Below are 15,120 nucleotides of genomic sequence, written 5' to 3'. Positions count from 1 at the left end.
AGATCGCACCACTGCACTTTAGATTGGGCGATAGAGTGAGACTCTGTCTCAAAAAAAAAAAAAAAAAAAAAGAGTGGCCGGGCGTGGTAGCTCACACCTGTAAATCCCAGCACTTTGGGAGGCCGAGGTGGGTGGATCACGAGGTCAAGAGTTCAATACCAGCTTGGCCAACATGATGAAACCCCATCTCTACTAAGAATACAAAAATTAGCCAGGTGGGGTGGCATGTGCCTGTAATCCCAGCTGCTTGGGAGGCTGAGGCAGGAGAATTGCTTGAACCCAGGAGGCGGAGGTTGCAGTAAGCCGAGATAGCGCCACTGCACTGCAGCCTGGAGACAGAGCAAGACTCCGTCTTGGAAAAAAAAAAAAAGTATGCTGGCAGAGGCTATGCTGCCAGTCATGTGTGCCACTATAAAGGGTATTCCTGTGCTGAGTGACAAGTTGGACTCAATCACCTCTAATACCCCTTCCAACTCTATAATTCAGTGCCTGTGATACTTTTCAATAACACAACCATGACCTTTCCACTGAGTGGAAACAGTAGTTGTTGTTTTATTTCTTTTCTTAAACACAGCCATCTTTGACCAAATTGACTCTCCAGAGTAATTTCCTTTTTTCCTTGGTTTTGAAGATAAAGTAAAAGAATTTTGGCAAAGTAAATGGCAGCCAAATCCAGAGATTTTCTCTGAGTAGACTCATTTTGAGGAGAGGCAGGGAGGTTGGTAGGAATGGGTTCTGTCTCCACTCTCTACTTATTAGCTCTGTAAGAGAAGTCTTAATATCCTCTCTCTAAAATGGAACTAGTAATATATTTTGTTGACTTTGGGTAGAGATTAAATCAGATATAGAAGTGCCTAGCACAGTGGCCAGAACATAATACAGATTCAAAATTACATCCTTCCTCTTGCCCTCTTCTTTATTATCTTGAGAGAATAAAGATTTTTTTTTTGGTCATTGTTTTGGTTTTGATCACCCTAGGGGGTCATTTGCAGGGCAGTTTTCTTTTTAATTGTGAGCTTCAGACCTAAAATGTCTTCATTGCCTAAGTATTCTCCTGCTCACAAAGAAGTAAGCCTCTTTGTCTTTCTGAGCCAGGGAGTTTGTCTTCCTCTGGCCTTTTGATACTCTGCTATTTTAAGCTCCTAAAGGTAAAGTATTTTCAGAAATAGTCCCCTGATTTCTGTTGAAAGTAATTTCTAATTTCCATATTAATCAAAAAATAGCTTTACATTTCTTTAGTCCTAATCCTAGTACCAACAAGAAAAGAGGCTTAGATTGTATTGACATCTATAAAGCAATTAAAATGTACACATCAAAATCCCAGAATACCTGATCACTACTGCAGCCTTTAGGATATAAAGGAAAAAAGCTAACTTGTGTCCATTTATTCTCTTCACTCTTGACCTTCAAAAAATACAAATACAAAAGGGGCAGGCTTGTTTCTAAGGACAAAGTGATAATTATTTGGTAGGTGTGGAAAAGGCATTGCTTTTGGGATTCCCTTCCCAATTCGACCACTGACTTGCTGAATAATCTTAACCAGAAAGTTACTTCACCTCTCAACCTCTATTTGATTAGCTATAAAATGGGAGAAATCACATTAGGATTGATTTGAGGCTCAAATGAAAAGCAAATGCGAAAATATCTTTTGTATGAGAAATGAGTGAAATAGAGACGGTATGTCTTTTCAAGAACTCAGTGTACAGTCATGTGTCACAAGACTGTAGAGATCCTGAGCTCAAGCAATCCTCCTACTTCAGCCTCCCAGAGTGTTGAGATTACAGGTGTGAGCCACCATACCTGACCAGACATAATGTATTAACAGTTATAAAACTCCTGGACTCAGGCAATGCTTGAGATCCTGTAATTAATAAATAAATAAATAAGTAAAGTAAGAAGGGAAGGAAGGAAGGTAAGAAAAGAAGTAAGAAAGGAAGGAAAGAGAGGGAGGGAGGACCAAATAAAGCTCCCTGTAATGCTGCCATTATATAATATCTGCCAAATTCAAGTGAATTAAAAATAATTCCACTTGGAAACATTGAAGGAACATCCTATAATTGCCCCTAAAGTGAAAGACATCTGAAATGACAAAACAGGAGTGTGATTACCTGTGGCTGCACAATTTCTCACATGAAGCTGAGTACAGATTTTGGCTATGAGACTGGATCACCTGGCTTCCCAGATTAGACCCCTGACTTTCTTCTTGAGAAGTAGCACACCTCCAGATTGCTAATTAATCAACAAGTTAGCTACCTCAGTTCTAAAATCAGAAAATGATCAGGGGGTAAAGAGATGAATTTTCTTTGGAATTGGAAAGGATTTAGGGAAAGGCATATTAACAAAGATACATTATTAAAGCTCCAGTATTTACAAATCCCAAAGAAGCTTTTAGGGATTTAGGGATTTAATCTTTGACTTTTAAAACCAGCTTTTCATTGTCAGTCAGAATACCAGTGAGCATTTAACAACTGCAGGAAGCAGTGAGACAGGCACTTATACACTGCTAGAACAAGTACAAATTGATGGTCTTTCTAGAAAACAGTATGGCAAAGTATGTGAAGGTTCTTGGGATGTCACGTCTCTTCAAACCTCCACTATTTCCCTGAATCCCACATCTATTGCCAGGAGCTTGCAGTAGCCTCTCAGCTGATTGCTATGCTTCTCTACCCGCTTATAGTCTGTTTTCAACACATCAATCAGAGTGACCCTTTTCAAACATAAGTCAAAGCATGTTATTCTTCTGCTGAAAACCCTATGAGGTCTTCTCATTTCACTCAGAATAGAAGTCTAAGTCCTCACAGTGGCCTGTAAAGCCCTACATGAACTGGCCAGCCCTTTACCTCTCTGACTTACTCTACTACTACTGCCCCCTCATTTGTTCCATTCCAGCCACACTGGCCTTTTTGCTGTTCCTCCAACATTGTCCCATATGCTGTCACCTTAGGGCCTTTGCACTGACTGTTTTGTCTAAAACACTCCTTCAGCTATCTGCTTAACACTATCATTTCCTTTAAGCCTTTGCAAAAATAATACCTTCTCAATATGTCTTACTTTGATTATCATGTTTAATATTGCAGTGCCCTTACCCTCGACACTTTGGCACTTCTGGTTCCCTTTACTTTGCCCATTTTCTCTTTTCCATAGCACTGAAGACTTTATGTTTAATATTTATCCAAGGGTGCCTTCTCCCACCCTCTTAGGATATAAACTCCACAAGGGCAGGAATCTTTGTTTTGTTCACTGACAAAAGTCCCTAAACCAGTGTCTGGCACCAAGTAGATACTCAGATTGTTTGTTGGATGGATAAACTTTAAAAATAGGCCTACCTGGCCAGGCACGATAGCTCACGCCTGTAATCCCAGCACTTTGGGAGGCCAAGGCAGGTGGATCACGAGATAAAGAGATCAAGACCATCCTGGCCAACATGGTGAAACCCCATCTCTACCAAAAATACAAAAATTAGCTGGGTGTGGTGGTATGTGCCTGTAATACCAACTACTTGGGAAGTTGAGGCAGGATAATCTCTTGAACCCGGGAGGCAGAGGTTGCAGTGAGCCAATACAGCGCCACTGCACTCCAGCCTGGCGACAGAGTGAAACTCCATCTCAAAAAAAAAAAAAAAAAAAAAAAAGGGCCTACCCTTTGACCTAGAGATTTGACTTCTAGAATTCATTCCTAAAGAAATAATCAGTCAGAGATTTACTTAGGTTATTTTAGTTTGTTAGCTATTATAAAAATGAAATTTTCAAACAACTAAAACAGGCAATGGTTAAATGATGTATCTACATACGGAATATCATAAAGATATTAAAATAAGCCTTTTGAAGAATATGTAATTACATGAGGAATTGTTTATAATGTTAAAGTGAAAAAGTAGAATATATAACTATGTATACCCCTACCTCATATCATATATAAAAATTAACTCAAAATGGATCAGTGATCTCAATATAAGCCAAAACCATAAAACTGTTAGAAGAAAACGTAAGGGTCAATCTTCATGACCTTGGATTTGGCAGTGGATTCTTAGATAGGACACTCAAAGGCATAATCAAGAAAAGAAAAAAATAGGTAAATTGGACTTAAAATTGATTTTTTTTTTTTGCATCAAAGGCTTTATAAAGAAAGTAAAAAGACAATCCACAGAATGGGAGAAAATATTTGTAAGTAATACATCTGATAATGGTTTAATATTCAGAATATATAAAGAACTTCTGCAGTGTAACAGCAAAAAGACAAACCACCCAATGAAAAAATGGGAAAATGCCCTGTAATCCCAGCACTTTAGGAGGCCGAGGCAGGAAAATCACTTGAGGCCAGGAGTTTGAGACCAGTGTGGGCAACATAATGAGACCCCCGTCTCTACAAAAAAAAAAAAAAAAAAAAAAAAAAAAAGGCGGGGCGTGGTGGCACGCACCTGTAGGCCTAGCTATTCAGGAAGCTGAAGCAGGAGGATTGCTTGAGCCCATGAGTTGGAAGCTACAGTGAGCTATGATCCTGCCATTATACTCCATCCTGGGTAATAGAACAAGACCCTGTCTCTTAAAAAATAAACAAATAATTGTTTTATTTTATTTTTATTATTATTTTTAGATGGAGTCTCACTCTGTCACCAGGCTGGAGTGCAGTGGCGTCATCTCGGCTCACTGCAGCCCCAGCCTCCCAAGTAGCTGGGAGTACAGGCACACGCTACCACACTCAGCTAATTTTTGTTATTTTTTTAGTAGAGACGGGGTTTCACCTTGTTTGTCAGGCTGGTCTCGATCTCTTGACTTTGTGATCTGCCAGTCTCAGCCTCCCAAAGTGCTGGGATTACAGGCATGAGCCACCGCGCCCGGCCAAATAATTGTATTTTTAAATGGGAAAATGATTTGGATAGACATTTCTCCAGAGAGGATATACAGATAGCCAATAAGTACATGAAAAATGCTCAATATCGTTAGTCGTTAGGGAAATGCAATTCAAAACCACACTAAGATCCCACTTCACACTTACTATAGGATGGCTATAATAATAATAATAATAATAATAAAACAAGGGTTGTTGAGGATGTAGAGAAATTTGAACTCTCATGCATTGCTGGAGGGAATGTAAAATAGTACAGACATTGTGAAAAACAGTTTGGTGGTTCCTTAAAAAGCTAAACATAGAATTACCATATGACCCAACAATTCTACTACTTGGTATTTATCCCAAAGATTTGAAAACAGGTACTCAAACAGATACTTACATGTCATTGTTTATTGTACCATTATTCACAATAGCCAAAAGGTAGAAACAACCTGGGCGTCCCTCAACAGATGAACGGATAAAGAAAGTCTGGCATATACACAGTGGAATATTATTCAGCCATAAAGAAGAAGGAAGTTTTGGTACATGTTACAACATGGATGAACCTTAAACACATTATGCTAAGTGAAAGAAGCCAGACACAAAAGGACAAATGGTGTATGATTCCACTTACATAAAATAATTACATAAAATAGGCAAATTCAGAGAGACAGAAAGTAGATTAGAGGTTACCAGGCTGAGTATTGGGGGATGTATTGTTAATGGTTACAGAGTTTCTGTTTGGGATGATGAAAATGTCTTGGAAACAAATAGTGATGATAGTTGCATAACATTGTAAATGTCATTAATGTTACTGAATTATATATTTAAAAATGGTTAAATTGCACATTTTATATTACACGTATTTTACCATGATAAAAAAAATTTCAAAAAATCCCCCAAACTGAATATAGTATACTGTAGTGAGCTGGAGCTGGTTTGTGTAAACTCTTGAGAGCTGATTGTGGGCACTTCTTCCGAACTACTCATTCAGTGATGTTGATAGCATCAAATTGGTCATAGTGGAAGCATTTATGCCATGGCAGTTGGCAAATGTTGCAAAGTAGCTCTCATTTCCAACCCCTTCGAGCCCGTTGTTAAATATTTACCAGCACACCACTGAATATATGTATATAAAAATGTGTAGAAAGCCATCTGGAAAGATAGATGCCAAACTGTTAATGGTGTTACTTCTGGGGAGGAGAGTAGTGCGGCAGGAATGTGAAAGTAAACTTGAACATAAAAAGTGTAAACTTCAATGTTGCTTCCATTTTTTTTGGCGGGGGGGTGTGGGGGGCAGCGGATGGAGTCTTGCTCTGTCGCCCAGGCTAGAGTGCAGCGGCATGATCTCAGCTCACTGCAACCTCTGCCTCCCGAGTTCAAGTGACTTTCCTGCCTCAGTCCCCATAGCAGCTGGGACCACAGGCGCCCACCACCACGCCTGGCTAATTTTTGTATTTTTAGTAGAGACGGGGTTTCACCATCTTGGCCAGGCTGGTCTTGAACTTCTGACCTCGTGATCCACCCGCCTCAGCCTCCCAAAGTGCTGGGATTACAGGCATGAGCCACCGTGCCTGGCCACTTACTTTTTTTTTTCTTTTTAATAGTGAGCATATAGAATATTTCTTGTATTGCTTTTAAAAAATAGACCAAAAAGTCTGCATATATTGGGATTTTGGTATTGGTAACTTTTCTCTTGAGAGGCTGAAAGCTGGTCACATATACTATCTGGAATAGCCCATGGAGAGACTGAACGCCAAACCTAGGACTTGGATTCTATTTCCTCAAAAATCTGGGTGTTTTTTTGTTTTGTTTTGTTTTGTTTTGTTTTTTTTGCCTAACTAAATAAGCCTTTTCTTATCTCTCTGTAGGTTACCCCACAGCCTATCCAGCAGCTGCCCCTGCCTACAATCCCAGCCTGTACCCCACCAATAGTCCCAGTTATGCTCCAGGTAAGGAGGAAATGGGACAGCAGTGGCGAATGGAGTGGGAAGGGGGACTCTATTTGGGAAAAGCAAAACCACTTGCTGGCCTTTTCCTGTTCTTAATTGCTCCGGGCGCAGCCTCTCCAGGCTGGATTTTCCTGGGAGTCCCTTCTGGGAACTGGGACAATCAGCCTCAGGGTAGGGGCGGGAATAGAATCTCCTCCACTCTGTCTGGGACTTAAGGTTGGCTCATCTGTCCTATGCTGGAATGTCTGAGACCTGCATCCTCCTCATAGAACCTTTTCTGCTCTCCCAAGCAATGTCCAAATTCATTCTTTGCTCAGTTTTCCCTGAGGCTGCCATTGGGACACACACACACCTTGGGACACACACACACCCACACACCCCTTGGGACACACACACACACACACACACACACCTTGGGACACACACACACACACACACACACATGCTCTTGCCACCAGAGGGCAAAGAGATGGTTTTCAAGCTGAGATAAGCTACTTGTTTTTCAAAAATAATAAAGGCCCAACACTCGGATTGAGGTTGAAATGGGTTTGAAAATGTTGAAAAGGTTTATTCCATTTTGGGCTTGGATCATTGCAGTGGTCTTAGTTCTGATCTTAACACTCATGCTCAGCTGGTGCTCTAATACTCAAGAGCAGGAGAAAGAGTATGGGCTCTGTGGTTAGAAAGTCCTGGGTTTGAATCCTGATTACCCAACTCACTAGTTGTAAGGCCTTGGGCAAGTCACCTCACCTCTCTAAGATTCAAATGTGACTACCTGCCTCAGGGTTGTGGATGGTTTTATGTAAGTTCCATTTACTCAATAAGTATTGAATGTCTTCCATACTGGAATAGAAAAATTAAATGATGCCATCTTTGCCTGCCTGAAGTAGCTCCCATTTGGGAGCCTGGCATATAAACTCACTGCAGTACTAATGTGCTAAGTATTGTAAAAAGGAATACATGGAAGGAGGAGGGAACAACGGTCTGCCTGGGGGTGAAAGTGTAGGGGAAGCTTCAGAGAGTGGAGAACAACAGAGATTTGAAGAAGTAGAAGCTGTTCTTTAAGCACACAAAGGAATAGTGGGCATTCCAGGCAGAGTAGAGCATGGGCAGAGGCTTAGAGATGTGAGAACATGACACTGTGAGGAACGTAGAAGTAGGGGAGTGGCTAAACTGTGAGCAGCTAGATGAATCTGAACTATAGATATACAAGGGCTGACTTGGAGAGGCCTTGAATGTCTTGATAATACCCGCCCATTTTCTTGTTTAGCACTTATCATTATAGAATTAGAAAGCTTCAAAAGACCTTAGAGATCGTCCAGTTCAACCTTTTCTCTTGAAAAAGGAGAATCAAAAAGCAGTGTTTTGTCCCAAGTTACCCAGTGAGTCAGCAGCCACATATGGACTAGAATCTTTGGCAGATCTCCTGACTCTCGTCCTATGCTTTTCTCTGCCAATCTAGTATTTATTCTACTGTCATTCTCTTTCTTGGGGCTTACTTAAAGGAGAAAAGAATACAGGTTGTCTGAAGACCTAGATTTGAGTCCTCACTGTGTCATTTCCTAGATTCGCAACCTTAGAGTCACCTGACCTATCAGAACCTCATTTCCCCCATCTCTAAGTAGGAATCATGTCATAATTATACACACACACCAAGAAGTTATCAGACAGCCCCTGTTTTTTGGACAAACAAGAGCTATTTTATGTAAATAGGCTATGGTATCCCCTAAGGTGCTTACATAGATGTGTCATTTCACAGACATTTTGACCCACTCTGTTATGCCCAAGATACTTTGGAAGACCCTGTAGATGATTCAAACTTGAGGAAGCTGTAGTCATTGCCTTTGGAAAGCTTATGAAGGGAGCAGTGACACATGGGCTAAAGTTCTATAATGGTATCTCAGCACTGGTTTCATATTTACCTTTAGTCAATATGACATATAATATTTTCCCTAAGATCTATGATAGAAGGCAAAAACAATAAAAGCTACAGAAATTCTCTCTGATAATCAAATTTGGTAAGTTCTATCTTAACTACAATGGCTTTGAGGATCATGTGTATCATGATATATAAATGACTTAAATTTAAGTGCTATGAGATCTGTGAATTGACTTTGTAAACTGTCTAGAAACAAAATGAGTTGTTGCAAAAGGTCAAGTAAGATCAAGAGTGAAGAAGATTCATTGTCTTTCTAGTCAGGAGGCCATCAGTGGCCTCATTGGAAGCATTGTCAGTGAAGTGGTGAGGCTAGAAACCAGAGTGCAGTGAATCAGGAGTGAAGAAGTAGATTTAGCATATATAGCCTATTCTTACTAGAAGCTTAGCTACCAGGAAAGGAAAAACAAAAGGACACTGACTAGAAGTGAATGTAGGGTTGAAGGAAGGTTTTCTCAGGTATGAGTGTGGGGTACTGATAGGAAGGTGCAAGTGGAGAGGACAAGTCAGAGATACAGGAGAGGTGGTGCCAATCAGAGCCGGGCCTCCACAGAGGCTGCTGTAGGGGTGGGAAATCTGGAGCTCAGTTCTCTTCTTTGGTTTGGGAAGTTGAGTAGCAGGTGGAGACAGGGTGCCTCACGCAGGAGGGCAACTAAAGGAAAGACTAAAGGAAAGGTCACAGATAGATGTGCTTAGAATAAATTGCCCAGTGGAAAGTGGAGAATTCTCATCTAATGACCTTGATTTGCTGAGACAGAGGGGAGTAGAGATCAAGGAGGGTTCTTAACCAGGGAGGTCAGGATGTGAGAGCCTCACAGGAAGGAGTAGGACTGGAAACTACCAAAAGATAACAGAGCAGGGTCACATTGGGGGGCCCATCTGAATGGTGGAGGCTGTGAATTTGTCCAGGCTCTCATCCCCAGCACTGGGCTATTTTCTCATAATGTTCAGCACCTCTGGTGATAGACTGTGGGATTGTTTCGGATCAGTTTGCCAATAAGTGGAAAGACATGGAATAAATAGCTACTATTTATTGAATGTTTTCTATGTGTCAGGAACTATTTGAAGTTCTTTATCTATATTAGCTTGTTGCATATTGCAATAAACTTTTGAGGTTGGTACTCTTATTATCCCCATTTCCGAAATGGGAAAACTAAAGCTTAGAGAAGTTACATAATTAGCCCAAAGATCCAAGCCCCAGCACCCTGCCACTGTGCTGCATGAGCTCTTAACTGCTACATTGTGGTTGCATCAGTGGGCCAGAGAGAAATTAAGGCGTTAGACTGGCTAAAGAGGGAAAGGAGTGCAGATAGGAGGAGGCTGAAACTGTAGGGGAAAAAAAGAGATTGAGATTGAGTACATCCTGGCATGTTATTCAGCTTTAATTTTAAAACAAGCAAAAAGTAAGCCCTCATCTAACTTGATTTTCCCCAATTTTGTTTTTAAAAGTCAACATATTTCCAGGCTGGGCGCAGTGGCTCACACCTGTAATCTCAGCACTTTGGGAGGCCGAGGCGGGTGGATCACGAGGTCAGGAGATAGAGACCATCCTGGCTAACACCGTGAAACGCTGTCTCTACTAAAAATACAAAAAATTAGCCAGGCGTGGTGGCACGTGCCCATAATCCCAGCTACTCGGGAGGCTGAGGCAGGAGAATTGCTTGAACCCGGGAGGCGGAGGTTGCAGTGAGCCAAGATTGCGCCACTGCACTCCATCCTGGGCCGACAGAGTGAGACTCCATCTCAAAAAAAATAAATAAATAAAACATATTTCCAAACAAAAAATAAGCCCTCATCTAACTTGATTGTCCCCAATTTTGTTTTTAAAAGTCAACATATTTCTACTAAAGTCACCCAGACTATTTTCTCAAAAACACACAAAATCCATAAGAGAGGGTAGCGTTAGAGTATTGTATTTAAAGGCCCCAAACTCGGAGTTGAAAGACCTAGATTGTAGCACTAACTTTGCTTCTGATTTTGGTGCAACCTTGGGAAGATCCCTTTCCCTTTGAGTTACTTACACACACACACACACACACACACACACACAGCATATTTTGGAATCCTACACACACACACACATACACACACACACAGCATATTTTGGAATGCTGGCCTCTGGATTCACAGTGCAGATTTCCTGACTGGGGGACTTCCTACCATGGAGAAGCTGGCTCAAGGTCAGAAAGGACAGTGTAGGTTACTCTCACCTTCCTGCCAGAGCTAGCCATTTGTGATGCACAGAGGTGCCTTCAGAAGGAACCAGGCTCTTAGGTTTAAATTTCTTTCAGCTGCTTTAAGGAGACCCAGAAGTTGCTTGAGAGAGAGCTATTTTTAGCAGCTCTGAATACCCTGAGATGTCATCTGTCCAGGATGCAGGGAAACATTTCACTCTTTTCATTGGTTCTGAAAGCAATGTGGGTATTTGGAGCTTTTTCCCAAGCTCTTAATGATTTCAGGGATCTTATTTAAGAACTCTTTGGCCCCACAAGAGGTAGGAGCCAATCAAGACTTGGCTTTCAGAATCGAGGGACCTATTAATGGTAATCTGGCTTGAAAATAAATGAAGGGACGGATAAACAGGTTAACTAATACAGATAAAAATAAAATAACCTCCTCATGAGAATCTTTTGACAAAACATTTTCCCCTATTGTCTCATTTGATTTCACTGCATCCCTATAAAGTACAAATACATTATTCCCATTTTACATACAACAAACTTGGAGAAGGGTAGGGAAAAGGAATTTGTGCTTTCTGAACAGCTGCCCTGTTCCAAGCCCTGCACAAGTCATGTTACAAACATTCATTTTTACCTTAGTCTTGTGAGTTGGGGCTTCTTGCCTCCAACTTTGTTCAAACAGGTTAAATAAGTTGCCCAAAGTTATACAGCTAAAAACCAGTAGATTTGGGAGGGCAAGGCGGGGGGATCCCTTGAGGCCAAAGGTCAAGACCAGCCTGGGCAACATGGTAAGACCCTGTCTCTACAAAAAATTAAATTTTAAAAAACAGGCAGGCTTGGTGGCATGCACCTGTAGTCTCAGTTACTTAGGAGGCTGAGACAGAAGGATCACTTGAGCCCAGGAGCCGGAGGCTGCATTGAGCTATCATTGCACCACTGCATTCCAGCCTGGGCAACAAAGTGAGACACTGTCTCCAAAAAAGGCAGTATAGCTGGGATTCAAACCCAACTTGTCTGACCCTACAACCTGTGCTCCTTCTATAGCACCACAGTGACCCAGAGGCTTCAGGGATGGAGTGCCTCTGCACTGGTCCTATCTCTTAGAGGTTTTACAGACAGCTCTTTAGAGGCCAAAGATGGTGATATTGTCTCTGAACCTTCACTTCCTCTAACACATCTGCCATATGTGAAATCCCTCTGCAGTTCCTGGGAGAACTGAAATGTATTCTTATAACAGACAAGCAAAAAGCAGGAACTTGGGCTTGTTCACATCCGGCAGCTCTGGGTCAGCTGTCTGGAAGACACTATGGCATCCAGGGAGGGGCTCTCTGCATTGAATGGACTTTCCCAGATGACATGTCTGTCACCCTCTCTAGGGTAAAGGTGTTTTACATCTTTATTTACTGCTTTTGTGAAGCTGGGGGGAAACTGCTATTGCAAAACAAAGTCTGTTTATGTAACTGCAATGTATACAACTTTGCACAAATTCTTAGTGGTAATTTCAACTAACATTTCTATCCAACAGAGTTTCAGTTCCTGCATTCAGCTTATGGTAGGAAAGCTATTTTTCCTCATCTGTATTACAGCCTATGAATGTGTTCTCTCGTAACAATGGTAGATCCCCTCTCCTCTCCTCCCCAAATCCCATCCCCTAGGCTTGGGCTCCCCCCAGGTGGCTCAGCAGCAGTTCCTAAAGCATGCAGGAACGTGTCTGATGGTGCAAAAATCATGGGTTGGAGACACACATGAACCGTCCCTAGGGCAGCAGCAAAGGATCATGGCACTAAAAGGCGTCTCTCAACCTAACCTGGCTGCCGAATTCAAACAAACAAATGAATAAAAATTCCAGGGCCTGTATGCAGCTCCTCAGTTGGCTTTGTGGTAGCCTCTGTGAAGGAGTACCTGGATTATGCCTATTAGAACCCAAAAAACTAGTCTGCCCCAGGATCAGATTTTCCATCTCCATCGGCAGTCTGACATGTTTGAAGACCTGGTTGACTTTAGATACAATATGTTCCCTTAGCCCAGAACTTGAGCTCTGGGCTCATTTTCCTAGAAGATGGTGAGAGGTGGGGGGGGCAGCGTGCTGATAAATGAGGGACCAGAACTGGGTTCTCTGGACAGTGTGGACTCCAGGCCCAAGGCACCACGGGAACTTCTGGGCACCTGTGAGGGTCCCAACAGTATAACTTGACTAGGTCCTTTTTGTCATAGACAGGAAGGGACCATGGGAGGGACTTGCAACTTTCACCACCCTCACCTGGGCTGCTCAGGAAAATGTTTTTGTAAAATTTCTGCACCCTTTCTCAACTTTTAACCTTGAATTATTTGGATGCTGGAAATTGAATTTGTGTGTCGCGCATCTGTCAGGAGATGAGCTGTGAAATTTCTCCTTGCCACTGCTGTGGGCTGTGTGATCTTGGGCAATTTACTACTGTCTCCAGGCCATAGATAAATTGTTTAATTTCACATGATCTCTGAGGTCCCTTTAAATGCTAATACACTGTCCTCTTATAATTTTATTACTTCAATTTTGTTAGTTGCAGACCTGTTTCTCATGTAGTCATTTTTTGTTTGCCTCAGGATATATGAACCTGGACAGAAGGGTGCATAAAAAGTTAGAGAAGCTTTCATTCTTCCCCTTCCAGTTATAGCATCTGAAATAGATCTGCATAAAGAATACGGATGCAGTTCTTCACTTTATAAAATTCTGTGCCAGGCTCTAAGCTGGCCCTTTGAAAATACGAAGACTAGTAAGACAAGGGGCTTGTTCTCAAGGAGCTCACAGTTTAGTGGAGAGAAGACATGCCATCAAGTACAGGTGCTTCCAAGAATCATAGGGATTGGGATAGTCAGTTTATAGGTATGCATGAGAGAGCTGTGGTTAAGGGGTGGGGAGAAGGAAAGGCTTCGTAGTAGGTGTGAGTCTTCAGCTCATGATTGATGGATTAATTAATATTACCAGATGGAGTTTGGGGAGATACATGCCAGAAGAGGTAGCAGTGTGGACAAAAACATGGAGATGTGAAGCTCCTTGGCATATTCTGGGAATGATAAGCAGTTTCTGTGGCTGTAGTATGGGCTGGAGATTGAGAACAATGAGAGAGTCTAGAGAGGTCATTGGGACAAGATGATCATGGTGGGGCATTGAATGCTACACAGGAGTTCAAACTTTAGCTTAGAGTCAGTGGAGAACTATGGAATGTTTTCAAGAAAGGGGGTTTTATGATTAGGTTTAGGTCTTAGGTATATCGCTCTGAGTGCAGCTTGAAAATTGGGGGCAGCAGATTTAACATGAGGAAGCAGTTGCAGTAGTGTAGTTCAGATGAGAGACGATGAGAGCTTCAATTAGAGCTGTAGCCTACAACTTTGGAGATGGAAGAGGGGACAGAAACCAGAACTAGAAACTATAAGACTGGGTGACACTTTATTTTTGACCCTCACATCAGTACTATGAAGCAATCAAGGAGTGATGATTATTGCCATTTTATGAGACAACAAAACTGAAGTTTAGAAAGGTTAAGTAACTTGCCCAAGGTCCCATAGCTAATAAGTGGCAGAGCCCAGGCTACAACTCAGATTTCCTGACTCAGTACATTGTTCAGGATGATGGTCCCTTGCTGCCTCGTCTCCTTGTAAGTGTGCTAAACAGATTGTTCAACTGTCAGAGGGCGTGAGGGCCCCGTATCCAGGGAAGTGAACAACCCAGCACCTGGATGTGGGCAGCATGCTGTGACTGGGCCCATGGCCCTTCACTGCCAAGGGTTCTTTCTCTCTCTCTCTCTCGTTTAATTGAGGGATAACATATAGACGGCAAAGTATATAAAGTACACTTAAGTGTACAGCTTAATAATGTCTTTACATATGTATATGCCTATATTTAACTACCACTTAGTTCAAAATACAAAACATCTCTAGGAAGTGGTACTTTTCAAGCACCCAAAGGCAGGCATGCCATTCAGAGCAGCCTCCTCTGTGACCATGCCTCTAAAAGCTTCAGTTGGGATTGTCTTCATCCCACAACTGAGCTCTGAATCGCTCCCACCAATAGAATGGGTGACTTTAGAATCGTTATATGGAGGAGCTGGATCACATGGTACAACTAACTAATGGGGAGGTCAAGTTGACAGCTAATATTTGTTTTTTTGATGTGTTTTCACATTTATCTAGTTATGTAAATTATAAGGATTCAAATATACAGAGGCGTACGGAAAACACTAAT

General features: G+C 41.8%; 1 protein-coding gene across 5 annotated transcripts in view, besides 2 other annotated features; it reads left to right on the top strand.

Moving 5' to 3' along the window:
* Positions 1 to 15,120, top strand: part of FAM168A (family with sequence similarity 168 member A) — a 197,626-nt gene that overhangs the window by 160,641 nt on the left and 21,865 nt on the right. For 3 of the 5 annotated variants that reach the window (NM_001286051.2, NM_015159.3, XM_017017415.3), the window contains one exon: positions 6,702 to 6,782. In NM_001286051.2, coding sequence (NP_001272980.1) covers positions 6,702 to 6,782 — 81 coding nt within the window. Of the gene's footprint in view, positions 1 to 6,701; positions 6,783 to 12,423; positions 12,451 to 15,120 lie in introns of all 5 variants that reach the window. The other 2 variants (NM_001286050.2, XM_047426650.1) reach the window with 1 other exon arrangement.
* Positions 7,852 to 8,052: a silencer, noted in NCBI's record as "peak1350 fragment used in MPRA reporter construct". NCBI's record gives its function as "represses an SCP1 promoter by STARR-seq MPRAs in K562 erythroleukemia cells {active_cell/tissue: K562}" and the evidence as "EXISTENCE:reporter gene assay evidence [ECO:0000049][PMID:32103011]".
* Positions 8,082 to 8,282: a silencer, noted in NCBI's record as "peak1349 fragment used in MPRA reporter construct". NCBI's record gives its function as "represses an SCP1 promoter by STARR-seq MPRAs in K562 erythroleukemia cells {active_cell/tissue: K562}" and the evidence as "EXISTENCE:reporter gene assay evidence [ECO:0000049][PMID:32103011]".

The sequence above is a fragment of the Homo sapiens genome, chromosome 11, assembly GCF_000001405.40.
Source record: "Homo sapiens chromosome 11, GRCh38.p14 Primary Assembly".
In the NCBI taxonomy this organism is placed as follows: Eukaryota; Metazoa; Chordata; class Mammalia; order Primates; family Hominidae; genus Homo; species Homo sapiens.
This window is presented reverse-complemented; position numbering and strand designations above follow the sequence as displayed.